Below are 24,752 nucleotides of genomic sequence, written 5' to 3' on the forward strand. Positions count from 1 at the left end.
AGAGCTGCACTCAGAAGAATAAATGAAAAGTCTGTCTGGACATGGTGAGGACCCTCAGTGTTTTCTCTTCTCTAGGAGTTAATCTTTCCTGGTTATTTGACGAGATTTCTAGGGAGGGCATCTTTTTTTCTTTTCTTTTCTTTTTTTTTTTTTTTTTTTTGAGACAGAGTCTCGCTCTGTGTTGCCCAGGCTGGAGTGCAGTGGTGCAATCTCGGCTCACTGCAAGCTCTGCCTCCCGGTTTTATGCCATTCTCCTGCCTCAGCCTCTGAAGTAGCTGGGACTACAGGCGCCCGCCACCACGCCTGGTTAATTTTTTTGTATTTTTAGTAGAGACAGGGTTTCACCATGTTAGCCAGGATGGTCTTTATCTCCTGACCTCATGATCCACCTGCCTTGGCTTCCCAAAGTGCTGGGATTATAGGCGTGAGCCACCATGCCTGGCCAGGAGGGCATCTTAAGACAATTACATTTCTTTTAGAAAGAAGCTTTCTTAGTCAGATAAGGAAATTCCAGAGACAGTCCCTCCTGGTGCTTCAGGAAGGTAAGAAGATCAGAAAGACAGGGAGGAGAGGGAAGATTAGAGTCTTTCAGGTGCTTCTCTAGTTCACTATATTTTGGGGTATCATTTTCTGAGCTCTGACACCACTCTCCTTATTATACTAACAGAACTCTGTTTCAAGAGACCATGTACCTACCTAGAAATCCTAACATCCCAGATTCTCTTATAGCCAGGGATAGCCATGTGACCATTTTCAGCCAATAGATGTTAAGTAAAAGACTATTGAGTGGAGATTCCAGAAAAGCTACTGTTTCTCTGATAGAAAGAGACAGACTCCACGGTCATGTAGTTCCTATCCTTTACCCTTCTTCCTGCCTGGAGTGCAGCCTTGATGCTTAGAAATAAGACAGCCAGCCTACAACCATAAAGACAAAAGCCAAATGCTTAGAATGTCAGAGCAGGAAGCCAGAAGGAGCCTGGAGCATTGACTATTTGCTCAAGCATTTGCACTAGCTCAAGATCATCTACCTTTTTGTTCACTAAACAAAACAGAACAAAAATCTTCCATTTAGTTAAGCCGCTGTGGTCAGGTTTCTATCATTATAAACCAAGTACAATCCTAGTTGACAACAGGTGCTAATCATGGCAACAAGAGAAGTGTTACAGTGCATTCTCAGGCTCTTTACCGCAATTTTTTACCCTCGGAGTCATTAAAGAATGTGATATAGTATAGCACAATAGGAAGAGACAGGTACTTTTGAAGTAACCTATAGACCTGGAGAAGCTCAAGTGTGGATTCTGTAACTGCTCTTTACTAGCTGTGTAATCTTAAATAGGATCCCAATTGCAAAATGATGATAGCAATATCCATGCTGCAAGGAGTTCCGAATGAAAAAGACATGGTGCACATGAAGCAGGCAACAAACATTGATAGTGCTTTCAGTAGGGGCAGAGGACAGCCTAATAGCAGTCCAAGGTTCTAATCTGGAGGGTCATCAATCCTTCATGAAAACACGTGCTTTCCAGTTGTTTGGCAAAACCCTATTTTGACAGAGTACTACAGAACAGTAGGAACTGCCCCATAGTGGCTCATGCCTCTAATCCCAGTACTTTGGGAGGCCGAGTGGGGAGGACTGCCGGAGCCTAGTTGTTTGAGACCAGCCAGGGCAACATACAAAGACTCCATTTCTAAAAATATTTTCTTAATTTTCAGGGCATGGTGGTGCATGCCTATAGCCCCAACTACTCAGGAGACTGAGGCAGGAGGATTGCTTCAGCCCAGGAGATCCAAGCTGCAGTAAGCTATGATCACACCACTGCACTATAGTCTGAGCAGCAGAGTGACAACATATCTCAAAAAAGAACTGCCTATAACACCAACAGGCCAGCACTTCAGCATCCAAATTAGTGTCAACCACTTTGGAGGCAACATGGCATAGGATTAAGAGTTCTGGGTTTGAATCCCAGCTGGGGCACTTTCTACTTACACTTACATCACCTAGGATAGATTATTTCATCACTCTGAGGCTTAATTTTCTCCTCATTGGGTCCATTTCCCTCACAGAGGTTGTCAAGAGGTTCAAATGAGAGAACAGATACAAGTATGTTCAACCTGCACAGATTCATTATTGTTGTTATTTGTATTCTCCACTTCATCTGCTAGAATAGTAAGCTCAGTGCTGGCAGGGGAGAGAGGAGAGGGCAGGGGAGAGAAGGAGCTGGTTACAGGTATAAATTGAATTCTAAAGATACAGAATCACTGATCTGCAAAGAGCCAAGGAGGAGGTTGTTTAGGTCAAAACCAGCCTAGAAGCAGAGCTGATCACTAAGCTCATGAGGTGGTAGCTGCCTGCCGGGCAGCAGCACTTGGGAGGATGGGGGGCAGGCATAAGAAGGGGGTTCAAAATCCTACATAGCTCCCTGGTTCCTCTCCATGGTAGCCATTTCCCTGAGGGCCTTAGCAGGGCGAAAATATACTTTGCCTCTAACACAGCTCAATATATTTTAGGCTGAGGGGAGGCTGGGGGAAGGGAGAGCTGAGCTGAGAGCTATCTATTGGTAATAAAAAGCTTCCAGAATGCACCCAGCTCCTTCTGAGGCAGACTTGGAGGGAATCTGCCAGGCGGAAGACACACACACATACCCCACCCCACCCCTACCCCCAGCCATCAGCTGCCTTCCTCTGTGAACCTCCAGCTGCCCCTTTGCTAGCCAAGGCCTCTCAGGGGACTTATTACCAGGATCATGTCCATCCTCTTCTTAGGGCCCTGCATTGGTTTCACTTGAGTTTAATTACAGAGGCTCTAGAAGGGAGGGGAAGGTGAAGCAAAGAAGTGCAGACCTGCTCAGTGCAGCAGTCACTGCTGCTGTGGACCTGTGTCTGCTCAATTCCATGTAACTGACATTGGCAAGAGGGGAGCAGTGGAAAGAACGCAATCGTGGAGTCAGGGGGACGTGGGATCAGTCTTATAACTTACTGTCTCTCAGATGATCAAGTAATATAACTTCACTGCTCCTTGGTGTCCTCTAGCTTTTTGTGAAACAAAAATAAAAAAGCAATAATAAATGTTCACATTTGTAATAATTATAGGTAACACTGAGTGCTTCATATATGCCAGGCCCTGTACTAGGCATTTTTTGCACCATGTCTCAGCCCATCCTCCCAATAGTAGATGAGGCAGGCTTTCTATTGTTCCTACTTTATAGATGAGGAAACTGAGGCACACAGAGGTGAAGTAAGTCATTCAGGGTCACGCAGGTGGTGAGTCTAATGTGTAACAAATGGAAAGTGTCTGGCATGCAGTGGGAATCACCAGTGGTAGTTCTCCCAGGGGAGTGTACCTAAATTAATAGAGCAGCTCTTACCTCCCTTCCTCTCCCCATATGTTATAATAACGCATTCGTCATCTGAAAATTATCCTGGGAGGTAGGCAATCGCGGTCCCATCATACAGATGAATATATCAGCCAGGAAAACTAAATCCACTCGAGTATTTCAAGCAGAGGAAAACTATTCAGGGGCCTCATTACACAGGTAATGGAAAAGCAGAAGTGGCAACCCAGAGTAGTATAGCAGGAAATTGCTACCATTTCCAGGCCTGCTGGCTGGGGCAAGAGCCGTAAAGAGAGCTGCCGGCCAGCAGCAGCCAGGCTCTGGAGGAAAAGGCTACTCAGAGTCAAAGCTGTGGAGCAGAGCAGTGAGACTGCAATAGCCAGATTGTGTCGCTTCTCTCTCCTCCAGGCTTCCACTAGTACCATGCACTGACCAGGCCTATTTGGAAGCCAGCTGGCAGAAGAGCTTGGGAATGCAGTTTCCTAAAATACAGGGCAGAGGAGGAGGGAGAACAAATAGGCAAAAGCAACCGCAGAGAGGAAAATATGTGACTTATCCAAGGCCATGGAGCTAAGAAGGGGTAAAGCCAGGACTTGAATTCGGGCCTCCTTCCTTTAACATTCCTCCAGTACACATTCCAACCCCTTGGCTTTTCAACAGAGGATACTCTCAACTCTTTCTTCCACTTACTGTACCATTTTCCAGAGCTTTTCCAAGCTTTCCAAGCCTCAATCTCCACCCTAACTCAAATCTTTCTTATTTGACCTAGTTCCTATGTCTTCATATGACATCAAGACCACGTGACCCAAATTCCCTTGACATCCACCCTCTTACTGCTTCCTGCACCCACTCTTAGTGTCGTCTTGCAATGTGTGTAAGAATGTCCCCCCATCCCACATCAATCAAGATTCAATCAGGAAAGCTGAAACTCTGTGAATATCCTAAAATATGAATTTGTTGTAGAATTAACACATTTTATAACTGTAGTAGAAACTGGGTAAGTAAGCACCCCAACAGGGAGATGGGAAATCAAATAAGTCACTAAGCAGCCATCTTGAAATACCAGAATGAGTGGGCACATAGGCATTCATGAAGGAATATGCGTAGCCAGGCTCATGTATCTGCTGGAGTGGATCTGCAAAAGAAAGCTGATGGAAAAGTCTTTGGAAGGCTGTTGCTGCTGCATCAGATTATGGTTCTGGGGTTAACATCACTTAGCAGGGCAGGCAGGAAGGAAGAAGAGCTAAGCGCAGAGTTGAGGGGAAGAAAGATAAGCTCAAATTTTCTGGCATCTCACTTTTACTACAAAAACCAAAACAAGCTGAAGTCAGCCAGCACCTCTGCATGTACCTCTCACCACGTTTAACCACAGTGACCTTCAAGATGTAACGGCTCTGCCATTCTTTCAAATCATATGCAAATTTCTCTTTTGGTCTATCCTAACTCTCAACTATAAAGAGAAACATTGTTCCGTCTCAGCGGGTTGACGTAGTATAAAGCCACCACACTCCCCTGCCCCAAGCTGATTCTACACTCTAGACACCATTCCTTCTTGCCACCTCAGGGGACTCACCCTTACTATTATCCACTCTCTTTTCTGTCCTTTCAACCATTTGCTGTCCACTGGTTCTGTTCTATCTGTCCAGGAACACGTTTCAGTCTCTCCCATACTAAAAAAGGAAGACTGCCCTCCACGACTGCTACCCTCTAAAGAAAGCTACCATCTCCTTTCTCCTCTCACCATCTCAAACGAAATGTGGGGGAAACATGAGCTATATGCTTGGTGATTCCCAAACCTCAGCACTTGCTTGCTTCTTAACCCTGTCGTTGGACTTCCTGTTCACCTCTCCACTGAAAGCACTGGCTCTTGGCTAAGGTACTGGTCTCTTCTTCAGGGCTCACCTTCTGTATAGCATTTGAGTTTGTTAGTGTTTCCTTCCATCTCAGATCTTACTCCTTCTTTGGCTTCTATGACTCTGTTCTCTCCTGGCTTTCCTCCTCCTCTCAGGCTACACAATCTCATTAACTTCCATCATGCCCTCTTCCTTTGCCTATCCCTCAAATGTTGGGATCGGTCAGAGTTGGGATTGGTCAGAGTTCCAGCTGTGGCTATCTCATCATCTCACTATAAACACTCTCACTCTGAGTTCAGTCAGCCTCCAGACTCCAAATCATAGCTACATACCATGCTATTTACTTCCAAATCTTTTTTTTTTTTTTTTTTTTTTTATAGATACAGGTTTTCACCATGTTGTCCAGGCTGGCCTCAAACTCTGGGGCTTAAGTGATCCACTCACCTTGGCCTCCCAACCAAATTTCTAGTTCTAGTCTAGACTGGTTTCCTGAGCTCCAGTTATTTCCAGCTACCAGCTGCAGATAATACAAGTTAATGCCCAAAGAGTACTATTATTGATTGAGCAGAGATGGAATGAATACAAATCAAATAATAACAGTTAGTTGATGATATTCAAGCTCTTATTTAAGTTCTAGGCATTACGCTAAGAGTTTTATATGCACTATTCCTTTTAATCTTCACAAACTCTAAGAAGTAGACACATTTATAACACCGTTTTACATATTAAAAAACTGAGGCTCAGAGAGATAATTAACGAACCTCAGGTCTGGCCATGATGAAATAAATGGTGCTGGACTTGCAAGTGCCACAGACTAGGAGAAAATATTATATTCATCATGAAGAACTTACTTTGAAAACACAAGAAGATACATATCACACTTATATGTGAAATCTAAAGAAGTAAAACTCATAGAAGTAAAGAATAGATGGTAAACACCACAGGCTGGAGCAGGGGGGTAAATGGGGAAAGGGGAGATGTTAATAAAAGGGCACAAGATTCCAGTTTTACAGAAGAAATAAGCTTTAGTGATCTATCACACAGAATAGTGACTATAATAAATAATCCATTGTATATTTCAAATTGCTAAAAGAGTAGATTTTAAATATTTTTACCACACATAAAAAGTATGTGAGCTGAGAGATTTGTCAATTAGCTTGATTTAATCATTCCATTATGTAAACGTATTTCAAAACATCATGTCATGCCCCATAAATATATGTAATTATTATTTGTCAATTAAATATAAAATTTAAAAAATATGAAAATAATACTTGTAACTCAGTAATAAGAAAGCAACCAACCTGATAAAAATGGACAAAAAATTTGAATATACTTTACCAAAGAAAAGATGATCAATATCATTAGTCATAGAAGAATGTAAATTAAAACCTCAATGAGATATGATTGCACCATAGCATGGTTAAAAATAAAAAGACTGATAATTCCAAGTGTTGGCAGAGATGTGGAACCTGGAATTTCCATGCATTGCCAGTGCTAATGGAGAATGCTACAGAACTTTGGAAGCTATTTGTCAGTTTCTCTTAAAATTAAAGATACACTTACCATATAACATAGAAATCCTAGTCCTGAGTATTTACTCAGAGAAAAATGAAAGCGTATAAAAATAAAACAAAACCTGTACATGAGTGCTCATGGCAGCCTTATTCTCAACAGCCAAAAAGTGGAAACAATCCAAATGTCCATTACCTCGTGAATGGTTAAATAAATTGCAGTACATCCATACAGTGGGAAAGATGGTCTTTTAATTAAATGGTGCTGGAACAACTGGATAACTATTGTAATGCAATAAAAAGGAAGGAATTGCTGATACTTGTAACAACATTGATGAGTCACAGAAACATTATGTTAAGTGAAAGCAACCAGATACAAAATGATTCTAATTATATGAACTTCTGGAAAAGGCAAAGCTATCACAGCTAAAATTGGATCAATGATTGCCCGGGGCTGGCAATGGTAGGAAATTGACTTCAAGAGAGTATGGATGTTATTATACTTTGGGGGCCAATGAAAGTGTTCTGTTTCTTGATTGTGCTGGGGGTCATACTACTGTACGTATTTGTCAAAACTCATTGAGTTGTATATAAAATTGGTGAATTTTATTGTACATAAATTATATGTTATAAAGCCGATTTTAAAAAAAGCAATGTGGGATGTCCAAAGATAAGATATATACAAGGTATAGAGGAAGCAAAAAAAAAAATGGCAAATCTTAGTCAGAATGGAGGAGTCATGGAAAGCCTCCGACAGTCTAGCTGAATCAGGATAAGTGGACACAAGCCTGTCAAAAAGCAGCTTCTTGTGGCTGGTTCATCTAAAGTGAGAGGCCCTGTTTGCCTCTGTTAGCAATGCATCTTATGGTTGGATTGCATTAAGAAGAATGGGGAAGGTTTTGTGAGCGCCACTACTAAGACTAAAATGGAGAATGGGGTTCAGTGGGGCTTGCCCTTACCAATGCATAAGGGTGTGTAGAACTAAAGACCAAGGATAATGTTTGAGGAACTTTGAGAAATTGTAGAACTCTAAGTTTCTTCTGTCCCTCTCTCTGCCACAGAGACAAGTTATAGTACTTTGTGCAAGTCACTCCCTTTCTCTGGGCACGGATTGCCCATCTGTAAAATGGGAGAAGAATGAGCAGACTTGATGATCTCTAAGTTTTCTTCCTTCTTTAACTTTCTATGATACCATATGTGGACGCTTCTGCTGGTTTGGCTATATCCAAGAGGCCAGTGTTCTGAATTCCTGCCTGTGTGACTCACTTCCTTTTCCTTTCATCCTCATAACCTCAGAGGGCCACATGCAGGGAGGAAAAAGGCAGAAAAGGGAAGACAAAGCTGGCAAGCAAGAGCAAAGATCTAGAGTCTAGCCTGGAGCTCTTTTTTTTGGGAAGTTAGAGGCAGAAAGAAGACAGCCAGGCAGTACAGGTCTAGAAGCAGGTAGTCTGTTCATTTGACAAACACATATGAAGTACCTACTGTGTTGCCACACACACTTATTAAGCATCTCCTTGGAGCTTGGTGCTGGGATTCAGCATTGAAAAAAGACAGATATGATCCATGCTGTGGGGGTCTAAGTCGGGGAGGTGCTGATCAAATTTGTTATTCAAAAAGAAAACCAGCTGCCTTGCCTAGAATTGATTACGGTTGTTATTCTCCCTAGTTTACACACAAGAAAATTGGGGTTTAGAAAGATTAAGAGTAGTGCTCCAGCTAGAGAAACCCTGATTGTTAGCCAGCCCCACAACCTATGCTGGCTACAATCTATGTCCTGTCTGTTACAGTGTCTCTTTCTATTCATGATATTTGTGAAGTATTACCAGGCGAGAAGAGGGCAGGGGAGGGAGGGGAGGGGGGGATGGAAATGAGGCACCCCCAGGTCAGGATGTGCTGGGCTCACACTTCAAGTCCGCTGCACTGTGATACACTCTGTTTGAGGCTGGTCAAGAGGCCAGCCATTCCCAGGGGCTCCAGTCAGAGGGAACTGCCGGCTGCACTGCCCAACAAAGATGTCTAGTTGCATCTTGTTCCTATCGATTACCCACCAAAGTGTTTCTCATTGTTAGGCATTCCCCAGAGGCAAGCAGGAGAAAAGGAGTCCTTTCTCTTTTTTTTCGTTTAATGACATCCAATCCTGCCCAGTGATCTCTGCCCTCTTCCCAGAGGCAGGAGACAGGAGGGAGGAGGGAAAGGAGAGAAAGAAAACACAGAGGTGTGGCGGTGGGGGCGGGCAGTGCATAGACACAAAGACAAGAGATGGAGAGAGACAAAGGGAGAGACACAGAGATATGCAAGGAGGGAGACACAGACAGAAACCAGCATGCAGAGACAAAGAGAGAAGCAGAGAGAGACTCATGGCGACAGAGAGAAAGAGGGAAGCAAAGAGAGACAAAAAGGGTCAGAGACAGGGAAAGAGGGAGCAACAGAATGACAGTAGGACAGAAATAGGCAGAAACAAAGCAGCAAAGCACAGGGACATAAAGAAACAGAGAGGGAGTCCGGGCGCGGTGGCTCACGCCTGTAATCCCAGCACTTTGGGAGGCCAAGGCGGGCGGATCATGAGGTCAAGAGATCAAGACCATCCTGGCTAACACGGTGAAACCCCGTCTCCACTAAACAAAATACAAAAAACTAGCCGGGCGTAGTGGTGGGCTCCTGTAGTCCCAGCTACTCGGGAGGCTGAGGCAGGAGAATGGCGTGAACCCGGGAGGCGGAGCTTGCAGTGAGCCGAGATCGCACTACTGCACTCTAGCCTGGGCGACGGAGCGAGACTCCGTCTCAAAAAAAAAAAAAGAAAGAAAAGAAAAAGAAACAGAGAGGGCAAGAGAGAAGTAGGTAAAGGGAGAGAGGGAGGGAGAGAGCGGGGTGGGAGGAAAGCGGTAACACTCCCACAACTCCTTTGTCCCTCAAGGTCTAAGAGCTGAGAAGATTCACAGAAGAACCTGTGATCAGCCCATACTCGGCCCAGGCACAACATTCCTGACCTCAAAGCATATGGGGATTGGTTGTTCTGACATTTCATGCAGAAACGTTAATTTCCCCACAAGTGGGAGTGAGAGCTCCGGAGAGGCATGCAGCCTGCACTTCAGTCCAGGCCCTGGGACCAGAACAGGCTTTGGACGCAGGAGACAGAAACGTCTGTGAAGGTCACATACTCCAGGGCTCAGACCTTACCTCTCTCGTCAACCCTCAGATCTCCCTGAGAGGGTTCTATCTCTCCCTCCACTTCATGACTCCTGAAACCAGGTTGAAGGCCACGCCTCCACATCTGGCATACTCTTGGGCTCCACATACCTATCCAATGCAGAGATCCTCTCACAGGAGCCACTGGTGTCTTCAACATAGACACAGCTTGACTCATAGCATTCCTGCCTCCTTCCCCAGCCTGCTCCTTCTGCTGGGTGTCTGAATTTCCAGCCAGTCATCCCAGCCAGAAAGCTGGTCACCTACCCCTTTATTGCTCCCCACCACCCCGCATCAAAGTATTCACCACGTCCTGTGGATTTGATCTCCTTAACATGTCTTAGTTTCTCTGGGCCTCATCTTTGAATCTGTAACCTGGGGATAATAGTACCTACCTCACTGCATTGTTAAGGTAATTAAATGAGTTACTATTTGCAAAGCACTTGGAATGGTGAGTTCCAAGCCTATAGCAGACCCTCAACCAGTAGTCAGTAGTCATAGAAGCCATTCCCTGTCTTCATCCCACACCCTTGGATTTCCTTCAGGTCACTACCATCTCTCGCCCATAACACTTTCTAACAGAGCCCTGGCACTGCGCACATGGATTCCGATCTATCTTCACAGCTGCCAGAATGATCTCTCAACAGGCCAACTCTGTTCCCTGCTTCCCCACATAAAAGCATGCAGTGAGTCTGAAGAGACTCAAGCTACTCTGCTGACATAAAGAGTCCTCCATGATCCAGACTTGTCTACATCTATACTCTTCATTCCTGCCACTCCTCATTGCTCCTCAAAACACATCTGTGCACATCAAGCTGTTTTCAACCTCCCTGCTATTATTACCCAAGCCCTGCTTCATCCCACCAACCTACCTTGCTACATTTCTAAAGAATCCACATGTGCCATGACTTCTAATCTCCCAAGACAGGCACTGTCCTCTCCACGTTAGAGACGGAAGGGAGGCTCCATGCCCGTCCAAGCCACACAGTTGTAAGAGGCCAAGCCTAGACTTAATCCCAGGACCCTCTGTTTTCACATCTGTACCCACTGTGGCGCATCCATAGCAGATCGTAGAGTATAATAACCTACACTTAGAGAGCAGTTACCACATTTTAGGCACATGCTAAGCAGCATAGCATTACCTTGTTTAATCCTTCCAACCACTCTCTGTGGTAACTGCAATTTTGCAGGAGTAATTACTCTGCCCAGGTTGCAGATGAGGAAACAACAGCACAGAGAAGTTGAGTAATTTGCCCAAGTTCCCAACCTAGTAAGTGGGGAGCTGGGACAGGAAGCAGAGGAAGGCTGGCTCCTCAGTGCAGTTCTTTACTGGCTATACAGGGGTGAATGGAAAATAGGTTCCCAGTTCTGTTTCTGCCACTGCTGTATCACTTTGCTGAGTTACTTAATGTCTCAGAGCCTCAAGTTACTCATCTGTGAAATGGGGATAAGGTCACACTGCCCTAACTCCAGGACCAGATGGAGAACCAAATTTTAAAAATAAAAAAGGCAGTGAACTGCTTAGTAAAATAAGGAGAAAGGAAGACCACCACGGATTGGGCTACAAGTAGGTGCCAGAAATTGGAATTGTGTTTTCATGTTATCTCACTTCAGCCTCATTACAACCATGCAATGTCAGCATGTCACAGTCCCATTTTACAGATAAGTCAAGTCAGCATGGGAGACAGGCATGCATATGAATAATTCAGAGTACTTAATTTACATCTGTATAGTGCTTTGAAGTGTACAAAATAATGCATTGTTTCTTTTTGATCCTCTGTGACCTTTCCCTGACAATCTTGTGAAGCAGGCAGAACACAGATTAGGCTTGTTTTGCAGATGAGCACTTTCCTAACTCAGGTCCACTGAGATGTGATGACTTGCTCAAGGTTACGACCAGTGACAGAAGCAGGGCTGGGATCCAAGCCTCCCACCTCTTAGGCCAAATTGGCTATCAGAGTCAGATTAGGCTGAAGTCTATGTGCTTGCAGTGCCAAAGATAGGGAAAGTGCGATTTTTAGATAGGGAAACCAAGACGTGTTTACAATTCAAATAATTTGCCCAGGTTCACACAGCTGGTAAATGGTGAATCTGAGAACCAAACTCCTGAAGTCAGACTCCAAAGTCCGAGCTCTAACCACTCATCTACCATCCAGGTCCACTCCGAAGTGAGGTGGTCAAGAACAATTGTCTCTCCTTGCATACATTCCATAACTTGCATTAATAATAACAACTGCCAAATACTGAGCAACAACGAATGCATGCCCAACACTTTAATCCTACAACAACCCCTTTATTATCCCTATTTTACAGAAGGGGAAATGGAGGCTCAAAGTGGTGAAGCAATATGCCAAGGTAATCTGTGGAGCTGGCACTTAAACTCAGGTCTAGAAAATGCCAAACCAAGATTTGTCTTTGAGTGAGACACTGATATAGAATTAGGTCCGGGGTTATGCAAATGAACCAGACATTGTTTTATTTAGTAGTCTTTGGTTGTAACGAAAACCAGCTCAAGCTAGCAAAAGCAAAAATAAATAATAAATAAATAAATAAATTGAATTTCTCATAAGAATACAGTATATTTTGTGAATCTTAAAGGTGAGAGTGCAGCCAGCCCTTTAAAAGGCTAAACAAAGGAAATAGAGATCTGTCAGCATCCCAGGCAGGGCTTTCTCTGGTCCCTAGTCTCTGCCTTTCTCTGCATCTCGTTTCTCTCAACAGAAACCAGCTTTCCATACTTCCCAGTCAGTCTATATGGCAAGCAGAAGATGGCCATAGTAATACTCCTGAGTTTACATCTCCTCTGTGAAGAGGAGACAAAGCCAGAATCTCTGGGGCCACCTCTCAGTTCCAGAAGATCATCTGAATGGCCCCGCTCAGACCAGACACCCATCCCTGGTCCAAGCAACAGTGGCCATTAGGATGGTGATGCATGATTCAAGGGTGGCTGTGGAGGGCAGCAGCCATCTAAGGGAGAGGAATAATCAGGTCTTGGGCAGGACAGACACCCCGAGGGTATTTACTATTGATGTGATCCTGGCCCCTAAAGAATGGAAGTTTAGAGAAACAGACAGGCAGATACAATAGAATCATAATCCAGTCTTGCTAGGGTGCTAGAAGAAATGTATTTACGGCGCTGAGACAGCTCAGAGGGGAAACTGTCAATTTTGCCAGGAAAATCAAGGAGGAGAACTCTTAACCGTTACACAAAAAAATGATCAGAACCTCAGAAGCAATAAAGTTTTAAATGATAGTGTGGGCATAACAAAGGCTATAAAGCAAATTTTATTATAATTATAACTGTAGATTATGAAATATATAAGTATAATTCTCTGAAATTCACAATTGATAATTATTATTTAGGTGTTTTGGGAATAATTACGCATTTTGATATTAAAAATTAATATAGAAAATTTAAAATGAAGATGGACAAGGTGGGTCTTTTAATATTTAACCATGACAAAATAAAGGAACAAGGACTGGGGGAGGCAGTGTGGTCTAATGGAAAGAGCATTGTCATCAGAAAGTGCTGCATTTGAAACCCAGCTCTAAAATTCACTAGTGGTGTGATGCTGGGGAAGTTATATGCCCTGTCTGATCCTAATTCCACATCACAAACTGGGGCCAATAATTCCAGACTCTCAGAGTCCTTGAGAATAGTGACTGGCATAACTTACATGAATCAATTCATGCCACTTCTCTGCCCAGAAGCCTCCAAGGAAAAGTCAAAGTCCTTCCCGTGTCCTGGAAGACCCAAGTGTGATCTTCCCATTGCCTCCACCCTGTGCCATTACATAACTGACCTCGTCTTCTGCTCCCACTCTGTTCAGTCCCTTCCAGTCATACTGGCTTCTTTGCTGTCTCTCAGATGTTGAGGGCAGGCTCCCATAAGGGGGATAGGAGTGGAAGATACCTGCTCTTCCTTCTGCCTAGAATCTCTTCCCCTTGACATCTTTAAGACCCACCCATCACCTTCCTCAATTCTTTGCTCACAAAACTGTAATCCTCTCCCCAGCACATCATATCTCCATCTCCTGCTTTTTCTCTATTTGCATATCATCTTTATGTGACTATATACTTATTTATTTCATTTATTATCTGTTTTTCTCCAGCAGAATGTAATCTTTGAGAAGGCGTGGACTTTTATTTCTGTGGAGTCCACTACTGTATCTCAGCAACTAAAACAACGCCTGGTACATAGAAGAAAACTTGATGAAGGTTGATTGAATGAATGAATAACTAGAACAAAAAACTCAGCATATAATGGGTATCACCTTCTTCCTTTCACAGCTTCTGAAACAATTACTTTTCCTAAGGTCTAAGTTAGATGTTAGTTGTAACTGATGTCTTTTTAAAATACATAACATATTCTATATTCAGGCTATCCCCATGTCAGAATTTTTTTCTGTCTTTATTTCCATCCTTGCCTTTTTACATGTTGTGTGGACATATAAGGTGCTCCATATTTGCTGAATTCCCTTATTTATCCAAGTCCTAGGAAAAGAAATAAAATAAATGCTCTGCTCACAGCTGCCAACACTTGTAATGAGCAATTCTTGATGGAGTCTTGAGTATACTAAGAAATCCATGCACTGAGAAAGAGTGGAGATGAGTATACTCTGGCATCAGGCATGAGAGGGGCCCTGCATTCATATGCTCCTGGAGTGGACATCTGTTGTTTTGTTCATCCAGCTCCCTTAAAAGAGCTCCAACTCCACTCCAGCCGTATCATTCCAGCAGAGCTGCCAGCCACAGGACCAGCCGTGTTTCCTGCCCTCCACTGTGGGACCCAGGCCAAGGTCTCTTTCCTTCGGCCCAGCGATTAGATGGCCTAATCAGCACCTTCTCCCCTCTCCCAACACCCCCTTACCCGCAAGAAACGTGTAACTAGCAGGGTAACATTCTTACTGCTTTTAAGTAATGAAGATGGAAGGATTTGTTATTAGTGACCACAAATAGGCATCTTCCTTGCCACATGCAGGAAGTCTCTCTGCAATGGAAGAGAAAGACAGAAACACACAGAGAGAAAAAGAAACAAGAGATGGAGGGAGGAGAGAAGAACGTGAATAAAAGCAAAACCTGTTGTATCTCAATACTTGGAACAGTTGCTGACATGTAGTAGGCATTCAATAAATAGTTGTTCAATGAATAATTGAAGGGGAAGAGGAGGGAAAGGAGGAGGGGGGGAGAGAGAGGGAGAGAGGGTGATTTCATTTGTATCGGATCCAGAACTTTTTCCGCGTTTATTTATGGAGTTAGTGTCACGTACTAGGCACTATGCTAGGAGCTGATATTATAATAATGAACAGACAGATAGACTTCCTGCCCCAGGGGAGTTTATATTCTAGTAAAGGAGGTAAACAACGAAATAATTATGGTTGCCATAAGTCAAATACCCCCATGAGGAATGCCTTTGAAGGCTGTGCGACCACGCACCTTCTTGACCTCTCTTGGACAAGCTACAAGCTGCCTGGCTCACAGTAACTCCCCAGCCCTGAACCATGCCTCCAGTTCTCAGGGGTGGGTCTCCACTGGCAATATCAATACCATATGACTCTGCTAAACCAGTCGATCTCCTTAACAAAAACAGGGAATTTCGACCTCAGAGACAGAGACTAGGATTCATTGCAGTTGAGTTGTGTTAAAGTAAAACTTATAGAACAAACTTTTAGAATTCCTGCTGCCAATGTCCAAAGACTGTCCCTGATCCTTGCCCATACTGAGGTTTGGTCACTTGTTTCTTATGAATTCTGTACATATCCTCAGGATCCCTAAGGAAATGCCCTTTTTTGCTTAAGCTAACCAAAATAGTTATCTATTTTTTGCAGCCAAAAAAAAAAAAATCACTAAAACAAAAACATTTCCTCAACTCTCTAGATAATTAAGACAATAAAAAAGAAAATAAAGTAAGTATAATTTATAGAGTGCTTTAGAATTTTCCTAAGACTTTTCCCTGCATTACTTCCTTTTAATGTCCCAGTATCATTGAGAACCATGAAGAAGGCACCATTATTTACTCCCATCTACAGATGAAAAATCTAACCCTCAGCAATGTCAACTGTTATTTCAGAGCTTTGATATCAGAAATACCCCATTTCAAACCCAATTAATGTCACTAGCTGTGGAATTTGAGCAAGTAATTTAACCTCTCTGAGCCTCAATTTCCTCATGTGTAAAATGCAAGGAAGGGCAGGTATCCCACTTTCACGGGGTTGTGAGGATGAACTAGATCTTGGATGTGAAGCTCTGAGGACAAACTTGGCTCTTGACAGCTTCCCGAGTGCTCAGGGTCCCATGCCGCTACCTTCCCATCCCCTATACATGTTTGCAAATGTGCATGCATGCGCACGCATTCACACACACACATGACTTGAACAGGCATAAGTCACTAAACAGGATTTTGAACCTTGATCTCCTGACTCTAGAATCTTCACTCTTTTTGCTACTCACAAGCTGTGAACAGAATAGTAGAAAAGACTCAAATTTACATTATGGAAAAACTTGGATTTATTTGGTCTGGAGAAGATTCCAAGGAACATTTGTAGGTTTATCCCAGAGAACAGACAACAGATTTACACAGTGTGTTCTCAGAGGTAGAACTAGAGCCAAGTTACTGGGTTTCTGTTTAGTATAAAGAACTTTTTCAGGGCCAACAGTGCAGCCATCCAGGGGAGTGGTGAGACATGTCACTGGCACTGAGCAAGCCAACTCGGGGACCTACTCAGAATGCAGGCATGGAACCTAAGTTCCTCCAAGCCCTGTGAGTCTAAGAGTCTAAGAGCCTCTTAGGTACACTCTTAGATGTACTTGAGATTGCCTGACAAGACACTGTGCCTCGAGGATCAGCTTTCACAAGCAGATGAATCCTTGTCGAAAAGTTGTGGCCTTAGTGGAATATTACAGAGCAAAGTAGACAGGCTGCGCCATTTGTCATCTTTGATGTGAGTCCTGGATTCTATAGGTCTCATCTCTCTAATCATCAGGACCGATCATGTGATCATCACATAGCCTCACAGGGCAGCTGGGGACCAGCAGGGCAGCATCCCTTGTCAGCCTTCAGGGCTTACCTAGATTAAGTTTGTCTCCTTCAGAGCTTTCCCAGGAGAGTGCTTGGCCCAGAGCGGACTGTTAGGAAAAGCCAACCCCCTTTGACCAAGAGCCACAGATTCAAAGTGGGAAGCTGTGTGTTACAAAAGTTGTAAGCCCACTCTCAGGGACCCTAAGGATCTAGGTTCAAATGGTGTGTATGATGGGAGCAAATCACTAACCCTTTCCACTGTTAAGTTCCTCATATGTAACACACAGGGTGGCTAGGAAGATGAAGAGAAGAAACACTGTTAGCACAGTGCCCAGGAAACAGTCATGTCCAGGGAGGAGGAGTCCATCCACTCTCCTTCCTTCTTCCCTGTCTCTCCTTGTTTTTCCTTCTTCCCCCAGTTTCCAAGACCTTTCAGCCCACAGTAATCTTCCAATTGGGCTGGTGGTCCCGGCTGTGCCCTATTAGGCTTTCCAGCCATATTGAGCATCCTAATCCCCTGTGGTCAGTCTATGAAGCACCATTCACACACACCATCACATTTAACACTTCAGGATCATTTCCTGCTACTCCCCGCCACCTCCCTCTCTCCACTCCCAGAAACACCCACCATCTTCGATTCCTCAGACACATCAAGCCCTTCAATCACCTTGGGCCTTTGCACTTGCTGTTTCCTCTGCCTGGAATACTCTCCCTAACCCCATTCTTCTCATAGCTGGTTCCTCATCATGGGGGCTCCTTCAGATGTCACCCCTCAAAGACGCCTTCCCTGACCACCCTATTGGAAGCAGAGTCCTCCCAGTTATTCTTTGTCACATCATCTTATCTTCTTTCAGAGCACTGATGATCATAACCTATAAATCTATTCTGTTTGTTTAATTTTTTTTTTTGATCTTGTGTTACCCAGGCTGTAGTTCAGTGATGTGATCTTGGCTCACTGCAGCCTCAACCTCCTAAGCTCAAGTGATCCTCCCATCTCAGCCTCCCGAGTAGCTGGGACTACAGGCATGCACCATCACACCCAGCTAATTTTTATATTTGAGATGGGGTTTTGCCACATTGCCCAGGCTGGTCTTGAACTCCTGGGCTCAAGCGATCCACCTGCCTCAGCCTCCCAAAGTGCTAGGATGTTTAATTGTTTATTTTAAGGCCACCTTTTTGGAGTGTAAACTCCAGGAGGAAAGTATCCTTATGTCTCCTGCTCATTGCTGAATCCCAGAAGCTAGCACACTAGCATGATGAATGAATGAGTGCGTGAGTGGACAAATGAACATTAGCATCACATTTTATGAATGAGGAAACAGACACTTGGAGGAGACTTGCCTCATTTCTCACAGTGACTGTGGGCCTCTCTGCGAACACTCCCCATGTCTATTTGCTTTGCTCTAGGATGCTGGGGACTGACCGTGTCCCAGGGAAAGAATAGGCCATGTCTCAGGAGACATCCCTGAACCAGAGCCTCAGGAACAGTGTTTTTGAATGCTACCAAATGTTAGGCACTGTGCTGCGTGTTTGACATACACAATCTCACTTAATCCTTTGTGGTAACCTATTTGTCTCAGAAAACAAAACTGAGGCACAAAGAATTATATTTCCTTGTGCAAAATTGTGGCAGAATAGGCCAGCAAATCTGAGACCACCAGAACCCCAGGTGGGTGAACCACTGGAGAATGCTGCCTCCCCTTCTGAATGCTCACTCCCTCCTTGCTCCTTTCTCAGCTCCCCACTCTGTGACCCTCAGGCCTGCAACAGACCGTAGGAGACACAGAATTGCCTTTGAGTTTAAATGGAGCCGGAAATCTTAAAATCTCTGAAAGCAAAAAGAGAACGACCTCTTTTGAGAGTCACCCACCTGTAATTGGCACAGCCCTGTCGCATCTCCCTCAATTTGTAACAGGGCAGAAATCCTGTTGAAGTCCCTGGAAGGCAGTCCCTGCTTAACGAGGACATGATCCAGCCCTGGGCGTTTCCGGCCACTTTCAAAGCCATAGCCCAGAGCTAGTTTTAATGATCACGAGAGGAACTTCTGAGAGAGTTGTAAGAGGAGGATGGGATAATTGCACTAGAAATACATGCCACAGACAACAATGGCCAGTTGGCCCAGGGCTCTTCAGGAGACGTAGCCTTCAAGGTCAGTTCCTCTGGTTCCTGTTCTGATTCCCTCTGACTCTGCTCCAAGATAATTAGAAAAGAACGATAATATCATCCCCCCCCCCCAACTGCCACCATCTCACCAACCTCTGCCTCCCACCCTGATAAAGCTGCAGTAAAGAATGTTTCTTAGTGGCTGAGTTTAATGAAAATACCATGGGTTTGGGAGTGGGAAGCTTGACTGAGCTCCCTACCCGCTGTGTGACCTTAAGCAAGTTACTTAACCTCTCTGGACCGTCTCAGCTGGAGGAAAAATATCAAATAGTACCTACCCGACATGCCACCAACTTTCTAGTTGGTGACAGTGGCTGACACAGGGTGGGCGTGCTAATGTTATCATTGCCAGTAGCAGAGAAATAGAGATGTGACATTTTGAACTGTTATTATATATTTCTGGTCTTCAAAAATCCATTCATGCCTGTATGACAAAATGATTAATATGTGTTTCAGCCTTCCCTCCTCTCACCCCCACCTCTTTCTTATCCCCTACCTGCTAGAGAGGACTTTGTCTTTGTCTTCTCCCTAGCCCCACCCTTCAGGAAGACTTCCGTCTTTGTCAGATTTCTGTGCTGCAGAGCTGGGAGAAGGAATGGTTAGTGCCCAGACACCGTGGCACCCCTCAGCCCTTTAGTCTCCCTTCCACCCCTTTTCTATCTCTACTAGAATTGCAAACTCCATGATGATGGGGACTTGGTCTGTGTTGTTTATAGCCCTATCCTGGCATCTACTACAGTCCTAGCATGTAGATATTTGTTAGCATGGATGGATATTTGCTGGATAATGAAACTTCAATACCAAGGGATGATATCAGGAATGATTTGCCCCCTTTCCCCAGGCAATGCTGAAAATATTTTCGGGTGTCACACCTGGAAGGGAGTGCTAATGGCCTCTGGTGAGTAGAAGCCAAGGATGCTGCTAAGTATCCCACAGTGCACAAGGACAGCCACCTACAACAAAGAATTATCCAGCCCCACATGTCAATAGTGCTGAGGTTGAGAAACTGCTACACTCCACGTCCAGGCAGCTTTGTCCTGCAACCATTCTGGGCCAAGACACTGTCCTTTCTCATTTGTTACCCTGCAATATCTTCCTATCAGACCTCCCTGCTCCCCATCTTGTCCCCTGAAATCTACCCTCTCCATGGAGCAGCCAAAGTAAGGTTTTAAAAATCAAGTCACTTTCTTACTAAAAACCCTTCCAAAAACCTATGGCTTCCCACTGCCCTTCAAAGAAAAGCCTAACTCCTTACTGCATCTTACAAAGCCCTATGTGACCTGACTTGCACTGGCTTCTTGGTCTCGGTTCCTACTACTTGCCTCCTCACTCACTCAGCTCCAACTACACTGACTCTCTGTTTCTCTAACATGGTGGGTCTCAACGTGTACTCCCTGGACCAGCAGCCTCAGCATCGCCTGAAATCAGTTAGACATGCATTTCTCCAGCCCCATTCCAGACCCACTGAATAGAAACTCCAGAGGAAACCTGAGCACTCTGGTTTAACAGGCCATCCAGGCGATTCTGATGCATGCTTGAGACCCAGTGATCTGACAGAGAGGCTCATTTCTACCTCGGGACCTTTTCACCTGCTCTTCTCTTTGTCTGGATTATTCTTCCCCCAGATCTTCAGGTGATGAAATCCTCATTCAAGTCTCAACTCAGTTGATACTTCCTCACACAGGCCTTCCCTGAACATTCTGTCTAGCTGTCCTCTGACCCAAGTTAATAACACATTCCTTTGTAACAAGTGTTATTTCATTATATGGTAAGTTATTTGTTTGCATTTATTTTCTCCCCTCTCTGATACAACGTAAGCTCCACTGGAGAGCAAGGATTCTCCAGTGTTCATTGATCTATCCGTAGTGTCCAGGGCAGTGTCTGTCAAAATGTGTATTAAGTGATTGAATAAGTGGAAGATCTGATTGGTGGGAAAGCAGGGGAGAAACTAAAACCAAAGAGGGTTTCAATTTACATTATATTGAGAAGTGGAGACAGGAAAAAAGAGAAAAAAATACTCAGACTGGGATATTTAAGAATTTTGACTCTTGGAGATGGAAGGAGTGGATGCTTGAGAAGGAGGAAAAGGTTTTCTGAGACGTGTTCTTGTTGACATTACAAAACACCCAAGTGGAGACTCAGTTCCCACAGGGCTGCTGAACTGTGCTGGGTAGAAGGCGACTTTATGCAGAGGTGATGTGGGTCCCTGGGACTGAAGAGATTTACACAAGAACATCCTGCATTCATTCAACACACATAGAAGTCCCAGATACACACAAAAAAAGTTCTGGGGGGAACACAAGAGATGAATTAGATACAAATCCTGTCTTCAGGAAACTTGAGGTTTAAGTCAAAGGTAAGACTCACACAGAGGTGATCACGTGAAAAGGGAGACAATGCCAAGAAAGAAAACGTTTTTCTCAGCTATGTACTCTATATACAGCATCTCCTTGGTGCTTTATATAAAGTATGTCATGGAATATCCACAAAAACTCTGTTAAGTATCCCCATTTTTCAGGTGATAAGTGATAACGTTGAGCATTTGGTCTGTTTAAATCTAAAGGCTTTCTAAGAATTCTCATTGAATTCTTACACCATTCCAAGGAGGCATTTACTATCATAATCCCCTTTGCACAGATGAGAAAATTGAACCTCATACAGGTGAAGTGATATGCACAAAGTAATAGAGCACTTCTGCTCAAAAAAATAAACAAAAAAAGAATTGAGGATCCTGGTTCTTTCCACTATGCCACCCTTCCCCCAGGACGTTATGCAGAGGCCATTTTCAGCTTTAGGTAAGGAAACACTAGCCAAGCAGCATCGCTGTCTGAAAACACAGTGGGCTGTCCCAGGAAGCAGTGAGCTCTCTGTTGTTATATGCATCCAAACAGAGGCCGGAAAATCATTTGTCTGAGATGAGGTAGTGATTTCTGCGAATAGGGATATTACACTGATGACTTCTACGTTTCTGGATGTAACATCTCATGATTCTATTCCCAGTTACGTGGACTTGGGACCATCCTTCTCCTCTCTAGACCTCATTTTTATTCCATGGAGTTATATGATCATTAAGGTGCCTTGTAGGCCTTGCATTAAAAGGTTCCTAGTTTTAAAGGGCAGAGATGGAGGCCAAGGACACTGAGCACTGGCTAGGATTTCTCTCACTGAGGGTCCTGTTTAGCCAAGGGACCTGGGAACTTTGGAACTTTACTTCCTTCCCAATTTTGTCTCCAACTGGCCACAAACAATCCCGTACTGTGGAAAATTACAGGCAGCAAAGCACTGGTTTGATGACAAAGTGTTTTGGAGCCATTCCCATAGCCGGCTTGAGAACCTGTACTTCCCCACACACCACCTCCATCCCCACCACCCTCCCACAAAACCTCTCGTTTTATTAGAATTCCAATCATGCTCCAGTGATTTTGAATCCCCAGAATTCCTTTATCCCAGAGCAAGAGTAATTGGATTTTTTTCCTTCTCAGCCCCGGCCGCCCCTCCACTTCATCAGCATGCTGGGCTCTGGGCCCACCCAGCCCCATGAAGGAATTGAAAAGATGCCATGCGGCTTTATGAAATCATATATAAGATCTTTAAGGATGCTTTCTGCAGTGGAGGGGGAGTTTTTATTTTTCCATAAATCACTTCCAGCCTTCAGATAACAATTTTATAGTCTGTTAAGGTCCTAAGACAGAATTTACGATTCTAGGGAATGGCTCCTTCATCCTGATGTGGCCCTTTCTTCTGCCTTTCAAGCATCCCACCCACCCCTTTCTTGAAGGATCTGGGAAAGGGAATGGGAAGGGAGGGAGCTGAACCGATGACTTCTACCACTGAATGCAGACACCCTGTGCTTTATATCTTCAAAACACTCTAACATCCGTCATGTCATTTCACCAGCATGAATAGGCTGGAAATAGGCTGAGCAGGTCTTACTAGTCCCATTTTCCAGATGAGAAAACTAAGACCCGTAATAGAAGCAGGATCTAAACTACTTCTTCTGATTCCAAGTTTCTTTCCAACATGCTGTGATGCCCCCCTAATTACTGTATGGCCTCATGTCTATTCCTGCGCTTAGAAGTAACCCAGGTTTGAAGGGCTGAAATTGTCAAAATACAGCCCAAGAATTAAAGTAATTGTCTTAGTAATGATGGAGGAGAACTGCTGTCCTCCTTCCCAATCCCATAACCACCAATAGACTGTGGTGGTAAACCTGTTAGCCAAACATTTGCAGTCTGCTTTACTCCACCGTACATGACACTGCCAGAGTTATTTCCCCAAAGCACAAGTGTGACTGGGTCTCTTTATTGCTCAAAAGCCTTTGGTCTCCCTTTTGCTTAAAGGGAAAAATTACAGAGTTGGTAGGAAACTTGGAGACCATCTAATTTAATTCTCTGTACTGTGCAATAATGTGCTCTACCACAGTGATATCCCTCAGGCCTCTGCATGAATAACTCCAGTGATGGGGATCTCATTACTCTTTTTTATTCCATTCATTCCTTTATTCACTTAATTTCTTTTATCTGAACAACAGATATTTACTGGACAGCCATGATGTTAAGCCTGGGAACAAAATCCTGAATATCACATACTTAAACATAGTAGTTAAGAGAAAGTTCTAAAATCAGATTGCCTAAGTTCAAATTCCAACTCCATTATCTAGTCGCTGCAACACCCTGGGCAAGCACATACCCTTTCTGTGGCTCAATTTCCTCATATGGAAAATAGAACTAATAATACTTTGAAGCTGGCATATTACAAGCATTTATACATAGAAGCCAGTGATATACGCAAGTAAACAGACATCTACAATGCAATGAAGTAAGTGTACAGAATGCTGTGGGAGCCTCTAATCCATTTGGGGTGGTGGTCAGGGAAGGCTTCCTAGAGGCAGTGACCTCTAAGTGAGACATTATAGCCAAAGAGGAGTTGTCCAAGCAAAGAGAAAGAGAACTACTTTAGTATGAGGAAATGGAATTGCAGACACTATCCTGAAATAAAGAGAAAGTGTATACTGTTCAAAGAATTATAAGAGTTCAGCATAGCTGGAGTAGAGAGGGAAAGGAAGGGATATGACCTAGCCACTTCCTTTTCAGAGAGCTCCATTATGGAAAATCCTTTCTGTCTGAACTCCCAGCACGGTAGTTACAGGCTTCTGCAAGTTGGCCCTAATTTACTTTTGCAAATTTATCTCTCTATTTTGTACACTTTGCTTTTGCTGTTTCCCCACCAAGGAACGTTTCCTACAGTGGGCTCTTAGGATTTGTAGTTTCTCATACCATTTTTGGAGGTAGCAGAATCCCTCTTTTCTATAGGACACCCATTCCATGTGATTCAGGTGAGCTCACCATGATCTGAACCCACTTTCAGGCTATGTTGCACAAAGAATAACCCATTCTCTGACCATAGTAATGGGTTCAGGGATGGGCACATAACCCACACTGAGCCACCCAGAGTCCTCCCTTATCTTTTTCTGTTGGAACTAGCATTCCTTTGGTGTTGCTCAGCTGGGAAGACATGAGTTGGGACTGCCAGACTGTCTTTCCAGCCCCAGAAAGGAGTCATTCTGAGGAACAGTGCTAAGTAGGGAAAAGCAGAACCATAAGATGGCAAGAGAGACAGAGGCAAGATAATCTCACCTGAGCTCCTGGATGGAGGCCTGCCAAGAACAGCTGTATTATTCCTGGAC

The 24,752-nt window shown here is 44.0% G+C and overlaps 1 protein-coding gene across 1 annotated transcript in view, besides 1 other annotated feature; it reads right to left on the reverse strand.

Annotated features, from left to right (window-relative positions):
- Positions 1-24,752, reverse strand: part of DAB1 (DAB adaptor protein 1) — a 1,551,949-nt gene that overhangs the window by 1,392,805 nt on the left and 134,392 nt on the right. The gene's annotated exons all lie outside the window — the stretch shown is intronic.
- Positions 4,404-4,904: an enhancer, noted in NCBI's record as "OCT4-NANOG-H3K27ac hESC enhancer chr1:58857658-58858158 (GRCh37/hg19 assembly coordinates)". NCBI's record gives its function as "activates a minimal SCP1, AML or CMV promoter by ChIP-STARR-seq in primed H9 embryonic stem cells {active_cell/tissue: H9 hESC(primed)}" and the evidence as "EXISTENCE:reporter gene assay evidence [ECO:0000049][PMID:30033119]".

The sequence above is a fragment of the Homo sapiens genome, chromosome 1, assembly GCF_000001405.40.
Source record: "Homo sapiens chromosome 1, GRCh38.p14 Primary Assembly".
In the NCBI taxonomy this organism is placed as follows: Eukaryota; Metazoa; Chordata; class Mammalia; order Primates; family Hominidae; genus Homo; species Homo sapiens.